The sequence below is a fragment of the Homo sapiens genome, chromosome 2 (assembly GCF_000001405.40).
Source record: "Homo sapiens chromosome 2, GRCh38.p14 Primary Assembly".
NCBI lineage: Eukaryota > Metazoa > Chordata > Mammalia > Primates > Hominidae > Homo > Homo sapiens.
Genome location: NC_000002.12, coordinates 113021639 through 113040676, shown reverse-complemented (window position 1 = coordinate 113040676; position 19038 = coordinate 113021639). Strand labels below are relative to the sequence as shown.

At 42.7% G+C, this 19038-nt stretch overlaps 1 protein-coding gene across 3 annotated transcripts in view, besides 1 other annotated feature; it reads left to right on the top strand.

Annotated features, from left to right (window-relative positions):
* The window catches only part of IL36B (interleukin 36 beta), a 30779-nt gene extending 12191 nt beyond the window's left edge, over window positions 1–18588 (top strand). The window contains exons 2-6 of one of the 3 annotated variants that reach the window (NM_014438.5): window positions 8911–8980; window positions 9522–9629; window positions 11599–11738; window positions 14445–14574; window positions 17900–18588. In NM_014438.5, coding sequence (NP_055253.2) covers window positions 8968–8980; window positions 9522–9629; window positions 11599–11738; window positions 14445–14574; window positions 17900–18003 — 495 coding nt within the window. In that variant the 5' untranslated portion in view covers window positions 8911–8967 and the 3' untranslated portion in view covers window positions 18004–18588. Of the gene's footprint in view, window positions 1–7820; window positions 8021–8910; window positions 8981–9521; window positions 9630–11598; window positions 11739–12561; window positions 13245–14444; window positions 14575–17899 lie in introns of those variants that run through there. The other 2 variants (XM_011510962.1, NM_173178.3) reach the window with 2 other exon arrangements.
* Window positions 6291–6585: a silencer, noted in NCBI's record as "tiled region #4990; K562 Repressive DNase matched - State 8:EnhW". NCBI's record gives its function as "represses a minimal TATA promoter and a strong SV40 promoter by Sharpr-MPRA in K562 cells {active_cell/tissue: K562}" and the evidence as "EXISTENCE:reporter gene assay evidence [ECO:0000049][PMID:27701403]".
* Window positions 18589–19038: the final 450 nt, after the last annotated feature.

Below are 19038 nucleotides of genomic sequence, written 5' to 3'. Positions count from 1 at the left end.
TTAAATTTATTCCTAAGTATTTGAAGTTTTTGATGCTATGTAAATGGATTTGATTTTTGCTTTCATTTTCTGATAGCCTGCTGCCAGTATATAAAAATACAGTTAACTTTTCTATAAAAAATAGTGTATCCTCCAGCCTTGCACTTATTAGTTCTAGTAGTTGTTATGTGGATTTCTTAGGATTTTCTATATAAACAATCATATTATTTGAGGAGAGTTTTACTTATTTTCTGATTTCTATTTCTTGTGTATTTTTAGCAGACTTCTCAAAATGACTAGGACTTCAAATACGATGTTGAACAAAAGTGGAAAAAGCAAACATTCTTGACCTGTTATGAATCTTAGGGAAAAAAATCAATTCTTTCACCATTAAGTATGAGCTGTAGACTTTTTTTTCTTGGGCACTATTTTAACATGTTGAAGTTTTCTTCTATTCCTAGTTTGCTGGGAGTTTATATCCTAAGTAGATGTTACCTTTGGCCTAATACTTTGTCTATTAAAAGATTTAGGTGGCATTTCTCCTTTATTCCATTAATGTAGTTCTGCTTTACAATTCTTGTCTGGACAATTTCAGCATTGGTCTTCATTGATGATCTTTATTCTTGATGTGGAGTCACATCTGTTCCCTTATTCTTCAAGAAAGACTATTGGATTTTCTACACTGTGCAACTTCAGCCTGCCCACCTTACGAAACTTTCAAAAATGGGAAATTGACCCATGCAGATGATTTTCCCCGAGTGACTACTCCCTCCAGGATCTGCCTGCATGCCTTGTCTTATGCTTATTCACCGATGTCAGCAGTTTCCCTTCGCTATCTGACCCAGGTCTTATAGCTGTTTTTGTAAAAGTCCTGATCCAATACAAGCCAACTCAGTGACACAAAAATAAACTCGTGCCTTTCTGTTTTAAGAAGGTCTCTTTTAATGGAGAATTAAATTCATTTAAATGGACTGTGGTTTCTGAAATATGTGGATTTATTCCTACCATGCTTTAATTTTTTCTTTGCTTTTTTTCCTGATACCTCTTTTTCTGTTCCTGTTTCTCCTTCCCTTTATGGCTTCAACTGGATTGAGTAAGGTGGTTTTGTTTGTTTTTCCTTTGTTCATCCTCCCCTCTAGTTTGGAAGTTATATACTCTCCATTAATTTAATACATAATGGCTAGTATATTTATTTCTAGGCCTCTTCAGATGAGAAATCAGTGTGAGCCTAAGACTGTAATATTGTAAACTCTATTTTATCAGTTCTCCTTGACTTAACTAAACACAAAGTTAATCAGTACTTTAAGCCAGGGAACTGTGCCACGGTGAGGGTGGTTGCAGGGGTGGGATAGTGGCCACTTCCTGGAGTATTTGGTTTTTCCCTCTTTGGGTGTTCCCTGAGTTTTGTGACTGGGACACCCTGGGGATCTTTTTGTCTTATAATTGTCTTAGTGAGGGGTCAAGCAAGAGCAGGTTCCAGTGCTCTGTGCCTGTCTCATCCCTCACAGCAGACACCGACTATATCCTTGAACTCCCAAGATGACCAGAGTGAGTCTCATATCCAGGGGCCAACCTGGACTATGCTGATATCCCAATCTAGAGAGAGGAGGCTGGATGCAGAAATCCAAGGCCAACCTACTTTTCCTTCCTTCTCATCCCTTAAACTTAAAGGACAGAACCCACGACGACTTGCCTTCACTCTGGTGAGAAAGGGACATGGGAAAACATGGTTAATCCAGTCTGAAACTGACAGTCTCCCACTGAGTCACTCACTGTAGAACCCATCACCTAAAACAAGCATAGATGGAGATCAGGCATTGAGAGGACAGCCTCTCTCCAGGATGTCTCTGAATTAATGATTGGCTCTGCAGCTCAATCTTTTATCCTCATCTCTGTCTCTTTGTCTCCCTCTCCTACCACTAGTCCTTGAAGCCATGAAGTTTACATCTTCTCTCAGCTCTCTGGGATTATACCTTCCAAAAGTAACTAACCCCACAGCCTGCCATCTGAGCTTCAGGCTTGAAGTCATTACTATTCTGTATCTGCCCCTACATTAACCAACCTCCTCAGTGTGTGGCCAAATTGGACTGAGACTTGGGGATGTCACCCAGAACCGCACATCTCACTCTGCACAAACTACCACAGTGGAGCAACCAGCAGTCACAGCTGCGCTTGAGATCTCCCACCAGGAAATACTTACTTTTCGAAACTGGACCTTCTAAAGAGGAAGCATGAAGGAGAGATTTGCTGAAAGCAAATGGGAAAAACCTAGAACCATTTCAGACTTCCTAGTATGAAGGCTCATCTATCTTCACAGAAATAGAAGTGGCACAGGATGAAGTCTGGTCCAGAATGACCATACTAGACACTGGGCAGATGTCTGAGCCCAGTCAGCAGTGAGGAGCACTCTGGAACTGGGAGTGAGGATCTGGTCCAGGGGTCCTGTTCTCAGAAGGCCTCTCTTTCAACAACTTGTAGCAAGAAGAAAAGCATCATCCCTGTCTGGAAAGTGAAAAGCCCAGATCCCAAACTACCTCCTGGCCCAAATTATCAGTACAATCTGTTCTCTGGAAATATCTCAGTCCCACTTAAGGTTTTGTAAATTCCAGGGAAGGACCTTGAAGCTATAATTTAACCTAAGGAGGAGCAGTACTACCAGACTTCAAATGTCAGCGTCAAATGCTCGTCAAAAACTCCTGTTATTCAGATCTGCCCTAATTGTGAAGCATAAATTAAACTAAAGAAAGACACACAAATTATCTATGCAAATTTAGTAGTATCAGCCACCCACTTCTTTAATTAATCTGACCTAATTTCAAATCAACACGTAAAATGTAGTATATAATTTGATGAGAATTTACCTCTACAGCATAGAATCTGATGGTTATTAAGGCCAATTGCCTAAAAAGTACTTACATGTGTACAAAATGACAGAAAATATTAAAGGACAATCATAAGGATATAGAAAACTCCTCTATCATTCATATTATGGTATAAAGACTGTACAAAATCAGAAAGTATAGACCATTTGGATTTTTTTTTTTTTTTGAGATAGAGTTTTGCTCTTGTTGCCCAGGTTGGAGTGCAGTGGCGTGATTTCAGCTCACCGCAACCTCCGCCTCCTGGGTTCAAGCAATACTCCTGCTTCAGCCTCCCGAGTAGCTGGGACTACAAGCATGTGCCACCACGCCTGGCTAATTTTGTATTTTTAATAGAGATGGGGTTTCTCCATGTTGGTCAGGCTGGTCTCAAACTCCCAACCTCAGGTGATCCGCCTGTCTTGGCCTCCCAAAGTTCTGGGATTACAGGTGTGAGCCACCACACCCAGCCTCAATTGGATTTTCTAAATGAGCTGGCTCTTCTAAAAAAGCCACAAAGTTGTACTCTCTATTCTGTTCCAGAGAATCCACAAAGGAGTATCATTGAACTCCAAGTAACAGGAAAGTGACTTTATGCTGGGAACATCCCTGGGGCCTGTGACACGGAAGGACATGGATAGGTGGACACACAGCCTCGTGGACGTTGAGAGCCATAGGTACCTCCAACTGTGGTCGCTGATCCACACAGATGCTCACGCTCATCATGGGAAGGTACAGAGGGAGCGGCCACCTGGTTCTTAAGCACTTCTGAGCGCACCTAAGAGTCAAAGGAGAAATTCAGAGCCAAGGTTCCCTCAACTCCATAGTTTCGACTGGATCTTAGCACTTGTGCTACCACAGTTACTGTGACTCTATTACATTCCCCAGACTGGAGAATCGGAGCAGCGCAAATTCCCTGCAGGCAGGATGCAGGCAAGATAGGCAGGCTACACAGGGCAGTGCCGTCCTAGATTTTGTCTGGCTCAGATGCAGTCCCTTCTGACTGGCTGAATCACCAAGGCTGGGCCTCCGACATCATCCACCTACCTTCACACCAGGAAAGGAATATCTGGGCTCTCAGCTTAAAGAATCAGGATAAGGCGCTCTGGGCAGGATCAAATGCTTATTTATTCTATGCCTCACAGGCTTCTGAAGGCCTGAGTTTGGCCTATCCAGGAATTAAGCTATTTTAGCACCCACAGAAATGTGTTCTTCCTGGGGGCAGGAAGAGGAAATTCCTGCTCATTACTGACTTTGTCACCAGAAGGACAGAGACTGAGGCAGAATCTCCAACCTGGGAATGAAAACTGAGCTTCATATCAAGGGTTGGATGCCCTCAGCTGCATTCATCAGATATTTGGTTTTTCTCTCTGAGCAAAAAGAGAAAAGATGCCATGGGGTGTGTCTGAATAAGCCCTCCTAAGTTTCCTATATTTATCTCCTTAAAGGAGACTCAGCACCCACTTCATGAAAAAAAAAAAAAAAGCAAGGTGTTTTCAGATAAATAAAATGAGGGCATGGAACGTGACTAATTAGTTTTAATCTTTTTTTTTATAACAACACATGTATATTGCTTTAAAAATAATATAGAATCAGGCCTGGTACGCTGGCTCACGCCTGAATTCCAGCACTTTGGGAGGCAGAGGCAGGCAGATCATTTGAGGTCAGGAATTCAAGACCAGGCTGGCCAACATGGCAAAACTCATCTCTACAAAAAAAATACAAAAATTAGCCAGGTGTGGTGGTGCATGCCTGTAACTCCAGCTACTTGGGAGGCTGAGGCAGGAGAATTTCTTGAACCCGGGTGGGGCGGAGGTTTCAGTGAGCCAAGATCGCGCCACTGCATTCCAGCCTGGGCGACAGAGCAAAAGAAAAGAAAAAAACAAAAGAATCGAAAAGTGCAAAATTACCAACAACAGAGCCCTGACCATTTCTTCCCCACCAAATCCTACTCTCCTGAGGCAACCACTTCCCTTCTTTTATCTCAATCCTCTGATCAGTCAGGAAAGGCATTGTCTATGTCAGAGACACAGCTTCATCCTGGGAATCTTCACACCTCCTCCCTGGGTGAAGCCATTATTCCATGACTCTTGGGATTGCCTTCTTCTTAATCTATTTCTGTTTCTAACTCATTTATTTATCTCACCCATTTATTTACCATCAAGTCATCTAGGTATAAACATCAAAATATTTTTGTTTTTTCCTTTTCTTCTTCTTTAATTTCTACTTTCGATGTTGCTATATTCACTTGCTTTTTTTCTCACTGGATATCAGGTCCTCTAACAACATCCCTGCCAAACTTCACAACTTTCTTGTTGCTATTATTATTTTTTTTTTCAGAAGAGCTTCTCAAGATGGTGGGCATAGGCGAATGGATCATGTACCCCTACCAGTGCTGAGATGTTAGGGGCCAAGAAAAAGCACAGGAAAGGCAGAGTTCTTGCAGCACTGGCTTTGGGTTTGCAGAGGGAGGGGTTCCCACAGTTTCTGGTACAGTCTGATTTCATTTTATTTCAGTACACCGTGTGTGTAGTTTCTTGGACAGGGTGACTGACCATCAGTGTCACCCTGTCTGTCTTCATCATTAAGCACTCTCAGGACCTGAATAGATCCCAGATTCAAATTCTTTTCATGGTTGGACATCCTATCACTTGACCCATTGATCCCTTGGGGAAAATCTCATGGTTCCAACCCTTCTGCCAACCACTGGCTTCTTTGCATGGAGTCATGAGAGCCTTCAGTCTTCCACACTTTAAATGTCTAAAAGTTCTGAGTTGGGGTGGGAGTTTCTGCCAAGTTCTTCCAAGGAATGTGACCCCATAGTTTCTTTAGGCTCTGCTGGTGCTGGGAAGGTTAGAGCCTTGTCTGTATCTCTAGAGTACACCACACTTCAGTAAAATCACATCAGGGTCTCCCTGAACTCCCTCACCACACACTGCCCTGGCCAAGGAGCCAAGGTGAGCCTGTGGGTCTCTAGGTGTGCCAGTCATCCAGATGGGGGCAAAGCTGCCAGTCCCACTGACTGTTTGAGTGATTCTCTTGGGAGGCTCCATCCTGGCGATAGGAGAGCATCCCCTGGCCCTTCTCCATGAGGAGGTCAAGAACTCACCTCTCACCACAAGTGATGCCTTTCCTACAAAGCATCCCACTCCCCTTTTCTCTTCCCTGTCTTCCTCTTATTCATGAGATACTACATACATTTATTTGTTTATCAAAAAATATTTGTTAGTTCCCATAAGAGGTCCGCACCATTCCTGCCACTGAGCACATAGTTCTCTGGCCTCAAGACAAAACAGGTTCCCTGGCCCCACAGAACTGGCATTTTGGTAGTGGAGATAATAAATAAATAAATAGATGGATAAATACATTTTCCAAAACCATGGAAGCATACATTTTATGAAGAAAATAGTTGAGCAAAATAAGGGGCTAGGACATGGGTGAGGGACTCTTGGAGATAGGCTGGCTGGGGAATACCTTATTGAGAAGTTGGCTTTTTTGCATATGCATGGAAGAAGCGAGGGAGTGGACCACTTGTTGACCTGGGGAAGGCTGTTCCTTCAGAGGAACAGGAAAAACTCCCTGCAGGCGAAGATAAGCTTGCAGGGCAAGAAAATCAGCAGAATCCAGTACATCCAGAGCAGGGAAGTCAGATGGGCAGGGATAGAAGGCAGCAGAAAGATAAAGAGGACCCAGATCATGTGGGCTTGGTGAGGGCTTTGGTTATTTGGGGCATAAAGCAAAGCTATTAGAGGGTTCTGTGCAAGAGAGTCATACGACTTTATTTACATCTTTGATTCTGGTCACTGCTAGGTGGACATCTGACTCTAGGGAGGTAAGAACAGAAGCAAGGAGACTATTGCAATGCTCCAGAAGATAGAGTCAATGGTGGATTTCCAAGAGCAGAACCACAAAGAGTGATTGGGAGTAGGACTGACCAATAATATTCGGTTTCAAGAGTAATGATTTTCTTTCATAGCCAACATTGAAGCCGCGTCTGACTCCTAATTCAGAGTTAGAAAGCCACAAGACCTCCAAGTTCTCTCCTCTCCTCTCCTGGACACATTATAGATTTTTCAGTATCCTCAACTGAATGCAAGACTGTGTTCCGGCTAGTGCAGTATGCAGGAGACTATGACCCAGGGGAGGCATGTCACATAATCATTAAGAATAGAGAGACTTGGCTTCTAACTTGGCTAGATTTCTTAGTAGCTGTATGACTTTGGGTACATTCTGTCATCCCTCAGAGCCGCTGTTTTCTTACATGAGAAATAAAATTAATGGCCCCTAAAGAGTTGTGTGTGGGACGGGTGCAGTGGCTCACGCCTGTAATCCTAGTACTTTGGGAGGCCGAGGCGGGTGGACTGCCTGAGCTCAGGAGTTTGAGACCAGCCTGGGCAACACAGTGAAACCCCTTCTCTACTGAAATATAAAATACAAAAAACTAGCCCAGTGTGGCAGTGGGTGCCTGTAGTTCCAGCTACTCGGGAGGCTGAGGCAGGAGAATCACTTGAACCTGAGAGGCGGAAGTTTCCATGAGCCGAGATCGTGCCACTGCACTCCAGCTTGGCGACAGAGCGAGAGCGAGACTCCATCTCCAAAAAAAAAGTAAATGTAGCGTGAAGATTAAAAGGTTACTCAGGTAAAGCTCTTACAACTTTAGCAGAAACAGAATAAGCTCTCAATATTTGTACCATATAAATGTGACATGGTGGGTGTGTAAAACTCCTGCAAGGAGTACTGTGATTGGCCTAACATCAGATGCAAACACAGCAATGGCTTCATGCAGTTTAGTGGGTCAAGAGAGCCACACCTCTGCCTCCAAGGGAGACACACCTCTGCCTCCAAGGAAGACCAGTAAAGGCACTCTCCTCAACTCAGCATCTGGCCTAATCCGCATTTCCTCATTGCTGTTTTCTGATGTTGCCTCTGCTCTTGTTAATCAGGAAGCACAGACCAGTCATGCTTGTGTTGCTCCACTGTCAGTCCTCCAGAGCCTCAAGAGATCTTTGGGCCATATCAGCTTTCTTTCCAAAATGAACACACCCAGGGGCAGGAAAGAATGCTCTTTCCTTGGTCATTAAGGGGCCTGGGAGTCCTGGACCAGCTTTTCATGCAGCTAGACCACTTACATGCAACTAGAGCCTTGACTTTGAAACGAGGGACAAAAGCATCTCTTGCTAAAGGTAACTTCTGCTGCTTAGAACCCAGGTATGGGGAACTTCTTTCATGTCTCTGTGTTTAGCCTCGAAGTGCCTCTGGGAGTCTTGTCAAAGGTACAGAGTACTGAAGGATCCAGGGCTGCTTACAAGGGTGCAGGTTGGTGATCTGCTTATCCACTGTGTAGGGACAACTATTGAATCACACATCAAGGATCCTGAGAGAAGGAGGGTTGTGAACAACTGGTTCTCATTGTGGAGTGTCTGTGATATTCTTGGGGACTGTTCTGGTGCCCTAACTAGAAAACCAGAGGCAGATGATCCCTAATAGTCAAAGCACCTTGTGGGGCCCTCAGTGGCCATGTGCATGATCCTTACAGATGTCTCTTTGGATGAGGAATGGAAGAAGATGGGCTCAGTGAGGCAGGTTAGCTACAAATTACTTAGGAGTGTTCAGCTTCAAGTCAGGAAAAGTGGTGATTAACCTGCTGTGTGGAGGGCTAAAATGGAGATACACACACACACACACACACACACACACACACACACAGACACACACACGCACTCTGTCTCTCCCTCCTTCCTCTCAACCCAGAGACTCAGAGTACTAGAAGGTGCCCGTGGTGATGTGTTGGAACCTCCTAACAATCCCAGATGTGATTAATGGAAAGCATACCAAGACCATCACAGCCTAGAGAAGCAGGACTGTGCCAGCCACAGCAGAGATGGGAGCTTCCTTTTAGGGTTTTCTGGCCTTGAAATGTCCTGTACCCATCCTTATTCTCAAATATGCATCTAGGAGAGGCTCTCAGGGCAGCTCTCTCTAAAGAATTTTTACAGTAAAATTTTAGGGGGAGAGGAGAAAAAAGCATAACATGTTTCTTCTCTCCTTCTCTCACATGGCCAACTGTTAACAGCCTCCTCACCACCATCTGATCTATCTTGTTCTCTTCACAAAAGGCTCTGAAGACATCATGAACCCACAACGTAAGTGGTGAATTGCAAATCAGCTTGGAAATATCTCCATCTGACCTCATCAAAGACAATAGGATGGAAGGACCCCTATCATTTGCTAAGCTATAAATGTATTTGCTCTTGCTAAAACACTCAGTTCCTAAAACGGCCTTTGAAAATCTCGGGGCACCTAGCTCTTTTATTATTATCTGTATTTAGAATTGCTTGTTTATTTTGATGAGAGGATTTTAAAAAACAACATATGGATAACTAATTTAAATATTATGGGGTTTTTTTTACCACCTAGACATTTTATCATTCGGAAAAAGACAAGTCACTAATAGCCCTAGAAAAAGGTGAATCTTGGGACTGTGACTGCACGTAGATCCTTTCAAATGCTTTGATTCACAAACTAGTCCCTGCCCTATTTCCCCTCCATTTATCGTTATAGCCACTACTTCTCAGAGCAATGAGACTCTCTCCAGAAACTCAAAAGCCATTAATACCAGGATGCAACTGGAGTCCTGAAGTTGATAACCTCACGTGTATTTTGTGCATTTTTGTCATCTGGCAGGGGAGGCAGCACCCAAATCCTATGCTATTCGTGATTCTCGACAGATGGTGTGGGTCCTGAGTGGAAATTCTTTAATAGCAGCTCCTCTTAGCCGCAGCATTAAGCCTGGTGAGTGACAATCAAACCCACTGTTGCTTCTTGAGGTGATGCCATCTTCACCAGGAATGAGGCTGAGCTTGCATAAGCCTGGCCCTGGACCTCACCCACTTCTAGGCACCAGCCCAACAGCCACAGGAAGGTCAAGTGAGAAAGGACACTATGATTCCCTTCCACAAAGGAAATCCCATATCTAGAAATGAGGGTGTGAAGGGTTGACAGCTCCTCTTACCAAAAGAAAATATCTTCAGATTAGAAGGGCTTATCCATTCAAACAACAGCTAACCTTCTCCTTGGAGTTTCTCTCCTTCAGGTTCCAACCATTGCTACCTGTGTCCTCAGATTCAAACTCCGTCATCTTTCCACCACCAAACCTACACAGCTTTCTAAGTTGGCATCCTCTTTTCTAATAATGGGGAAATATTCCTTTCTCCCATCAAAAGTCAGTCCATCTCAGCTTCTTTCCCTGTATCCAGAACTTCAATGTTTAATTCCTCGCTTCCCTGCAAATTCCACCTTTGTTTACTGGACCCTTTCTATCATTGTCAGACATGCTGCAACCTTCTCTTGATTCCCACATTTTCCTCCTACTAACACATTTTCTTGTGCCAATCATAGCAAAACTTCACGAGAGCTGGCTGCATAATTTGCAGTCTAACATCTGGATTACTCTTCCTACTCCCCCCCAACCTTCTATTTCACCCATGACCTTCAAATACTCAAACCCAAAGGACACTTCTTGGTCCCCATGCTATTTGGCCCTTAGCTCACTAGTGTAATGGACCATTTCCTTCTTGAATACTCTACATCTTCTCCCTTTTTTTTTTTTAAACGGAGTCTCACTCTGTCACCCAGGCTGGAGTGCAATGGCACGATCTCAGCTCTCTGTAACCTCCACCTCCCAGGTTTCAAGCAATTCTCCTGCCTCAGACTCCTGAGTAGCTGGGATTACAGGTGCCCACCACTGTGCCTAGCTAATTTTTGTATTTTTAATAGAGATGGGGTTTCACCACATTGGTCAGGCTGGTCTCGAACCCCTGACCTCGTGATCCGCCCACCTCAGCCTCCCAAAGTGCTGGGATTACAGGCGTGAGCCACCGCACCTGGCCCATCTTCTCCTTCTATTAGAATATTACTTCTCATGAGGTTTGCTGGCTCCTCTTTTGCATTTTCTTTTATGACTCTCCTTTGTCTCTGAAATCTCCAAATGATGGCGTTCCTCAGGGCTCAGCCAGTCATCATTTACAAGCCCTGTGAATGGGTAATGAGCTGATCTTTTGCATTGATGAATCACCCCTACACTCATTCACTCTGCCGTTTACACTTCCAACACAGATCTCCTCTCTCAATAGTTTACCCGTGTCCTCTTGAGGTCCTCTCAGATACCTCTAACTTCATGTATCCCAAGTGGGACTATTGATCTGTCTTCTCAAAACCGCTAACATTCTCTGTTGGTGGCACTTCTGTCCACTCCATTTCCTCGAGCCGGAAATACAGGAGACATCCTTGATTCCTCCTTTCCCTCACTCTCCATCCAATCTATTAGCAAAGATTGGTAGGTCTACGTGCAAAACATGCCTGATTTCTAAGATAACATCATCTCTTGCCTGGACCACTGCCATCACATTCTCACTACCCACCTCTCACTTTATTTGGGTAGCCCCCATCCCATCTCATATTGTGGCCCATGAGATAGAAGCTCCCCACTTTTATCTCATGGGCCACATCTTAAGCATATGACCACATTTTGCTGCAAGTGTGGTAGGAAATTTTACTTCTTTTTGGGAAGCAACATGTCCTGGTGACAACTGGGGTTCTGTTATTAAGGACGAAAAACAAAATAGGTTTGAGGAGGGTGATGGAGGGTCTCTGCCACATGGCTAATGGGAGGAGCCTGTCACTATTCCCTACCTGGGGGGAGTAACTGAGTGTCAGACCAGAAAGACTGAAACATCTTCTCCATTTTCCTTTGTGTTTCCAGTCACTCTTCATTTAATAGCCTGTAGAGACACAGAATTCAGTGACAAGGAAAAGGGTAATATGGTTTACCTGGGAATCAAGGGAAAAGATCTCTGTCTCTTCTGTGCAGAAATTCAGGGCAAGCCTACTTTGCAGCTTAAGGTGAGTGATTGTGCAGCTAACGAGAGAAGTACTGTCATATGGACTTTCTATTTCATTTACTATGTTACTGAATAAAAATAATATGCTTGCAACCCTGGACTATTCAATGTAAGGAAATAATTCTGACCTGGCTGATCCCTGAATCTATAAATGCTGCCTTTGGAATGGATATAACACTTCTTTTAATGTCAGAGCATAGATCCTCTGAAAGATAGAAAATACACTTACAGGAATGTTTCAGAAAAGCCAAAGAACAGTATTTTCTCCATTCTCGGTCCTGTTTAACTGCATTCTGGAAATCCTCTAAGACAACGGGATGCTCTCACTACACCAAAGGTGACTGCACAGCAGAGGAGACAAAAAGATTTTGAATGTGGTTATGGTCTGTGTACCATAAACACATAACTCTTACCAAGGCAACATTGTAGTTATGAAGCTAATTCTTCTGCTATTGTTGGAAATTGTAATGCATAAGCCCACTTGGAGGTTGAGAATGCAGCAAGACTGGCCTGAACCTGCAGACAAATGCATATCAAAAGCACCAAGAAAGAGATTTCAACCTCCCTCTGTTCCAGGGAAGACAGTGATGCTTCAAAGAGTCAGAGCACCTTGTGTCAGAGGATCCTGGGGTGGAGCCAGGCTATGGGAACCCAGTGAGTTCCCGTTTTTAACACTCTAATGCCCTGCTTCATCTGCCTTTGTCCCTAGCCTCTGTCCCTTCCTTTGGGGGCAGCAGTCCCTCTCCTGTTACACACTCAGAGCTGAGTTACTTTAGCTTCCTCCTCCTATCCTCCTCTCTAACAAGCCTCTTTTCCACCCCCAGGAAAAAAATATCATGGACCTGTATGTGGAGAAGAAAGCACAGAAGCCCTTTCTCTTTTTCCACAATAAAGAAGGCTCCACTTCTGTCTTTCAGTCAGTCTCTTACCCTGGCTGGTTCATAGCCACCTCCACCACATCAGGACAGCCCATCTTTCTCACCAAGGAGAGAGGCATAACTAATAACACTAACTTCTACTTAGATTCTGTGGAATAAATCCAGCCTAGGCTGTGGGTGGCTGGTTCCAGGATAGAGAATCAAGCTGTCAGAGTCATCTTAACAGATCATTATGCGACTGAGTTCACTAGCAGTTCAGCCCATCCATAGCTTACCTCATTCTTACTATCCAAAAGCCACCTCCTCCTCCAAACATCCATTTCTGTACCAAGACCCTCACTCGAATGTCACTATCCCAAGATGAAACCTAAAAATCACTTTCCATTCTTTCTTGATCTTACCCCACCATCCACTCAGCTGCCATGCCCAGTTTAGTCAACCCCCCAAATGCTGCTTCATGCAACCTTCCATTCCTATTCCTTTTGCCAACCCATGATGTAGAGATGTGGATTCATGACATTTTGTTCATACAACTTCTTCAATAAAACATTATAATATGTGCCCCAAAGATAAAGCTGAAGAATGAGATGAATGTGAAATTAAAGGTTTGCATGTCTTTCTAATCCTAATGAATTCTTAATGTCATTCGTTAATAATTTGACACACAGTGTATACACTTAACCCTTGAACAACACGATTTTGAACTGCACAGGTCCACTTAAACACTGATTTTTTTCAATAAAAGTTACACCAAATGTCCCTGCTTCTCCTGCCTCCCCCTCTAACTCCTCCACCTCTTCTGCCTCTCCACCCCTGAGACAGCAAAAACAATCCCTCCTCTTTCTTCTCCTCAGTCAATGTGAAGATAATGAGGATAGATTGTTATGATGATCCACTCCCACTTAATGAATAATAAATATGTTTTCTCTTCCTTACGAGTTTCTTAATAGTATTTTCTTTCCTCTAGCCTACTTCATTGTAAGAATACATTATATAATACATATAACATACAAAATGTGTTAAATGACTGTTTATGTTATTGGCAAGGCTTCTGGTCAACAGCAGGTTATTAGTTAAGTTTTTCTGAAGTCAACAGTTATACATGAATTTTTGACTGTACTGCTACCCCCATGCTGTTCAAGGGTCAACTGTACTTTGGTTAAGATCAATTGCTAACCATGGTGAATGTAAACCAATCCATATTTTAAAAAATCATTTATATTGGCTTTAATTTCTTTCAGACAACTTCTAGAACTGAATGTTTTTTTGTTTTTACTTTATAAAGTTGCTGGAAGAAGAAGCATCAGCTATGATACTTCCTTGTTATTATTCATATTTTCTGGAATTTTGTTAGTGTACATTCAATCTACCACTCCTCTATAGGGATACTTTTAAGCCAGTTGTCCATTTTGTGAGAGTTATTTTAATTAAAGTTTGTAATATAATCTGCAAATCCACTAACCAAGTACATGTATACTGCAATAAATATACCATAATATCCTGAGCATGAACATGAGCATAACAGGCTGTCTTCTCTCAAGAGAACTTGTCCTTCTTTGCACATGACAAGCAGGCATATTGGGTCTTGCAATGGGTACCCACTGCTAAGTTCCAATTTCTCAGCCAGGCATAATTTGTCCCCAAAACTATGCTTCTGGCATTATCTCTTATTGCTTCAGTGCCCCGCATTCTCTTTGGGATACTCCTGAACCCCACCTTACATGCTGTATGCAGGCCTTTTACTCCAGTCATTGCCGTGCAACCAACTTTGAGACAGTGTAACCTGGCAGTGTATTATCTCAGCAACATTGAACATTTCTCTCTTCCAGCTTCAGGGCTCCCAAGATAACATAGGGAAGGACACTTGCTGGAAACTAGTTGGAATTCACACATGCATAAACCTGGATGTGAGAGAGAGCTGCTTCATGGGAACCCTTGACCAATGGGGAATAGGAGTGGGTGAGGAGCAAATTCTCTTATCCATCCCACAGGTGGACAATTCTGAGATGCGTTCATTCTTCATGGTTCCTCAGAGGATCCCAGCAGTATTGAGACATAATCACCCATGGCAGGTCTAAGTTCAAGAATACATCCTGAATTGACTTCTCTCACTTCCCTGTTTCAATTTCCCCAGTCCCTTCTCATGTTCCCTAGGGTCACTTGTCATCATCTTGCATGCAAACCCTTGTCTCAGTCTCTGCTTTCTGGTATAAACCTAGCTAAGACAGATTCTATCAAAACCAACTTCTTTTCTCAACTAGCCACCTCCAACACGTTGGATTTCTTCCCTCTATGTTCCTGCTCATGCCTTTGCACACATCTCAAACACTTCCATTGCTGCCTATGTCTTACTAACATCCTAAATCCCTTCCAGCTGTTTTACGGGACTCTCCTCATCTTCCCAACCGAAGGCAACATCTTATCTTCTGCGAGGTCCATAGCATTTTTGCCTTCTCATGGAACATTTATTTTCTTAGGCTTTGTGCTATAGCTTCTTCTCCTTGTCTTGGCCCATTTGCTCTCTTCTCGTCAACCAAATTCTAGGTACATAGAGGCAGAAATTTGTCTCTTTCATTTATGCACTCCCTTTAGATACCAAATCTTCCCTCCCTCTTAGCAGTTTCTCAGAATGCACTGTTGAAGCAAATTAATTTTCATTTCATGTATTAGCATCTTCCCATTAATACCAAAGTGTGTCAGGGAGAATCTTGCATTATATCAGGGCAGTCCTCAACTTCAAGAAGGGTCCAAGGAACTGGAAAGCTTCTCACAGAATATGGAGAGGAAAAACATAGAAAGGCTGCTCAGAAATTTCCCTGTCTCAATTCTTCCTCCTCTTCCCCTTATGCCAATATGGCTCCAGGGGAATGTGATGATACAAGGGCATCCACTCGGGAGGAGATGGCTGCAGAAATGAAACATAACCAAGGGTATCCCCAGGAGCTTTTAGCCAGTATCCTCTGCCTCCCTCTTGGAGGGCTCGGTGCACAGTCTGAGGGTTTGCATTTTGTCCAAGCCTTTCCCCACATGTATTTATGCATATGCACAACAGCATAGGGGCACAAGAGAAGGAGCCCAGGGAAATTCACCATTGCAAATATTTTCTCTGACAAGGTCATGACTAAGCACAAATGGCCTCAAGGATGGCCATGAGAGACTTGCAACAATGTACTTGGATACGTAGTACATAGGTTTTCTGAGAAGGGCTGCAAAGAATGTGAGTTCTGTAAATAGCTAAATGTGCAGAAAGAATCTATAGGAAGATGGTGATGAAAAATGCAATGTAATCCTGGACAGTGCTTATAAATATCAGCTTCCCAGCTATTCCAAGGGCACTGAACATGAGCAAGAGATAGACAGCCAGCCCATCTTACATCACACCACCTGTGCCCTCTGCCAGAGGAGTGAGGACATTGTGATGGTGAAGGAGGAAGAAGAGGAGGAGAAACCACAGAAAGACTCAAGAGGTGTCCTCAAATATTTTATTTGCTCTCCTGGATCGAGAGCTGTGATGTTCTTTGCTTAAATCTAAGAACCACAGGAGAAGGCACGGGATGACAGATTTCTGTTCAATCAGTATCAGAAGGCACTTCCCAAACAATGTGGGTTTCCTAAGCCTTGCAAGGAGGTAGGCTAATTCCTTGTCTATCTGTAGTATGGAAAAAATAAGGCCAACATAAACACACACACACGAAATAGAATATCGATAAATGGAGAAAGAGCACAGTGTTATTCCCCCTGTTCCAGTCTCTGAAGCACTAGTTCCTATGACCTTTTTTTTCCAGCCTATGAGATACTCTAATATTCACGGAGGTGTTGATGCTTTTGTTGCTTTCTTAAGCAAGAGTCACGGTCCTCAGGCCCAGGACTATTGAATGGTGGGTTTTTCACAGGGTGGTAGAGAGGGAGTTTACCCGTGTGACACTCAAAGATAGTTTGTCCCCTGAATCTCTTCTATTCAGAAACCTAAATGAATGCACGTCCATTTCAGAGATCCCTACATGCTTCCACCCATCTTTCTCTTCAATTTCCATCAGCATGCATATCTGCCCTGTCCTTCCCTCCACTTCAGTTTCCTTTATTCTTCAGAAGAGAAAATGTAAAAAGCTCTATAAGCTTGCAACTGAGAATCTTTGTCTCTCACTTAGGTCAATAAGTTTATTTTAACGTTGTTGATGATCTAATGTGAATTAGGGGCAAGAAAACAACACGGGTTATCAACAAGAAAGGAGGGGAGATAAATATGCAGTTAAAGAACTGATCAGTTAACTACCTTACTAGTTTGAGTCACTTACAAGTAGAACATTTCTGATTATAAAAAGAATACTTCAAAGTCAACTCTAGGCCGTATGGTTGGGAAGTAACACCAGAAATAAGTGAATAAACTACATGGAAACCCATAATGTCATTCCCTTAATGGTTGTCTCCTTAACTAAGGATGCAATTAAAAATGAGACAGAGACTAGCAAAGACTGTGCAGCTGACAGAGTGCCACCTCCCAATATCTAATAGCAACCATCAAAAGATCAAAAACCATACACTGATGTTCTCTATTGCTCGTACAGTTTAGCAGGTTAAATTTTGCAGATTACAGCTCTAGTTCACTAAAATCAGTTTTATCTATGCCTATAATAGCAGTGTGGCCATAATAAAAGCCACATCTAACTGACCAAGGCCAAAGCCACTAGCAATGTCTTCTCCAAACTCACCATGTAGTTTGAACCCCAAACAACAAAGCTTGTTTTTATCTCAAAGGAAGTGTCAGGATCAATAATCTGAATTATTCAACAAATATGTTTTGAGCACCTATGCTGTTCTAAGTGCTGGGGACATAGTAGTAAACAAAAAGGGGAAAATATGGCCATCCTTATGGAACTGACATTAAATGTTGAAGGTTGGTAGGTAACAGTCCCTCCTTCCAATCGCCATCCACGTTCAAACATTTAGAAACTATGTTGATGCCAAAATCAAAATCATAGCAGTGCCTTTATTATTGTTACAGCTGGATTAGGGAAGTGAGGGGTGCCTCTTAGTCTTCTGGGGCCTCAATCTAGACTTTTGGGGCAAAAACCATGCCCACCAACTCTAATTTCATTTTCTCCAGTCACTGTAATAATCCATCACTCTTCAGCAGAATCAAGTGAGTAAGGCTGAGAGGAAGGCAAACTCCAATCTCCTCCAGGAGCCTCCGTGTAGAATCTGCCCTTTTAGCCCCTATTCAATTGGTGGTTTAGCAAATGTCCACATCTTGCTAAGCCTAGGAGATACTTCTCCTTTCCTGCAGGTAGAAAGAAGTGGAAGAGTTCCTTTCAACATCACCATCTCAGGAAGAAGGACAAAGATTTCTCATCCATGCGGACCAACATAGGAATGCCAGGAAGGATGTAGAAATAAGGGGAGGAAGATTCCCATCTCTACAATCTTTGAGTGGGTTTGCTATCAATGAAATGCTACAAATGGAATAAGTTGCAGAAATTTTTCTCTTTTCTTGGGTTCTGGAGAGTTTGTAAAACAAGGACACTATGTATTTTTAAAGAGTTGGTAAATCTTACCTGTAAAGCTAGAGAAGGTCGGAGTCTTTTTAGGAGTAGATTTGGACTACATAACCTGTAAATGTGTTTTGTCCAGTCCTTAGAGTGTTTTTTAAAAAATTGTAAAGTCAAGGTTTTCATGAAAAATGGGAAGATCAGACAACATTGCTCCTGAATTCCCACAGAGCAGCAAGCTACTAGAGCTCAATCTGTTATTTCTTTTCCTGATGTACAGGGGTTAAGTCCTATGGAAGAAACAGCAGAATTATTCAAAATTATTTACATAATGTGCAATTATTCACTAGAGCATGAGGAGTGAAACGCTCTGTTTAGTATGTATAACTTAAAAGGAACACATACAATTAAAAGTAATTGAAAGACATTTCTTCTTAAAAATTCTATAATCTTACACTGGTAAAATAAACTAGTTTTTCCCATGTAATCAAGTCTATATGATATTATTTTTATAGTATATTATTTTTCTTCATCCATTTGCCTTTAACTCCCATGTGGGCTGCTCTTTATCTACCATAGGCAGAACCATATATTTCCATTCCTATGTAATAGGATCCCAGTGAGTCTTTTTCTCCCAAAAGATGCAGCAACAAAAAGTTAGGGATTATAGCCATGGAAAAGACAGTCAGTTGTTTCTTACAATGGAATAGTAATAGTCTAGGCCTCCTACTGTAGGCACCGAGTAGCCACCCTGGGTATCCACTCTTTCATCCACTGATTTGCTCAGAACAACACCTAGCTATTGTATCAGAAAATTTTCAAGCATACAGAACATAACGGGGACCACAGCATTTGAGAAACACAGCCTCTGCTAAAGCTACTTTCTTCACATGCTGTTTACACTTTTCACTTTTAAAAACGTTAATTTTTCAGTTAT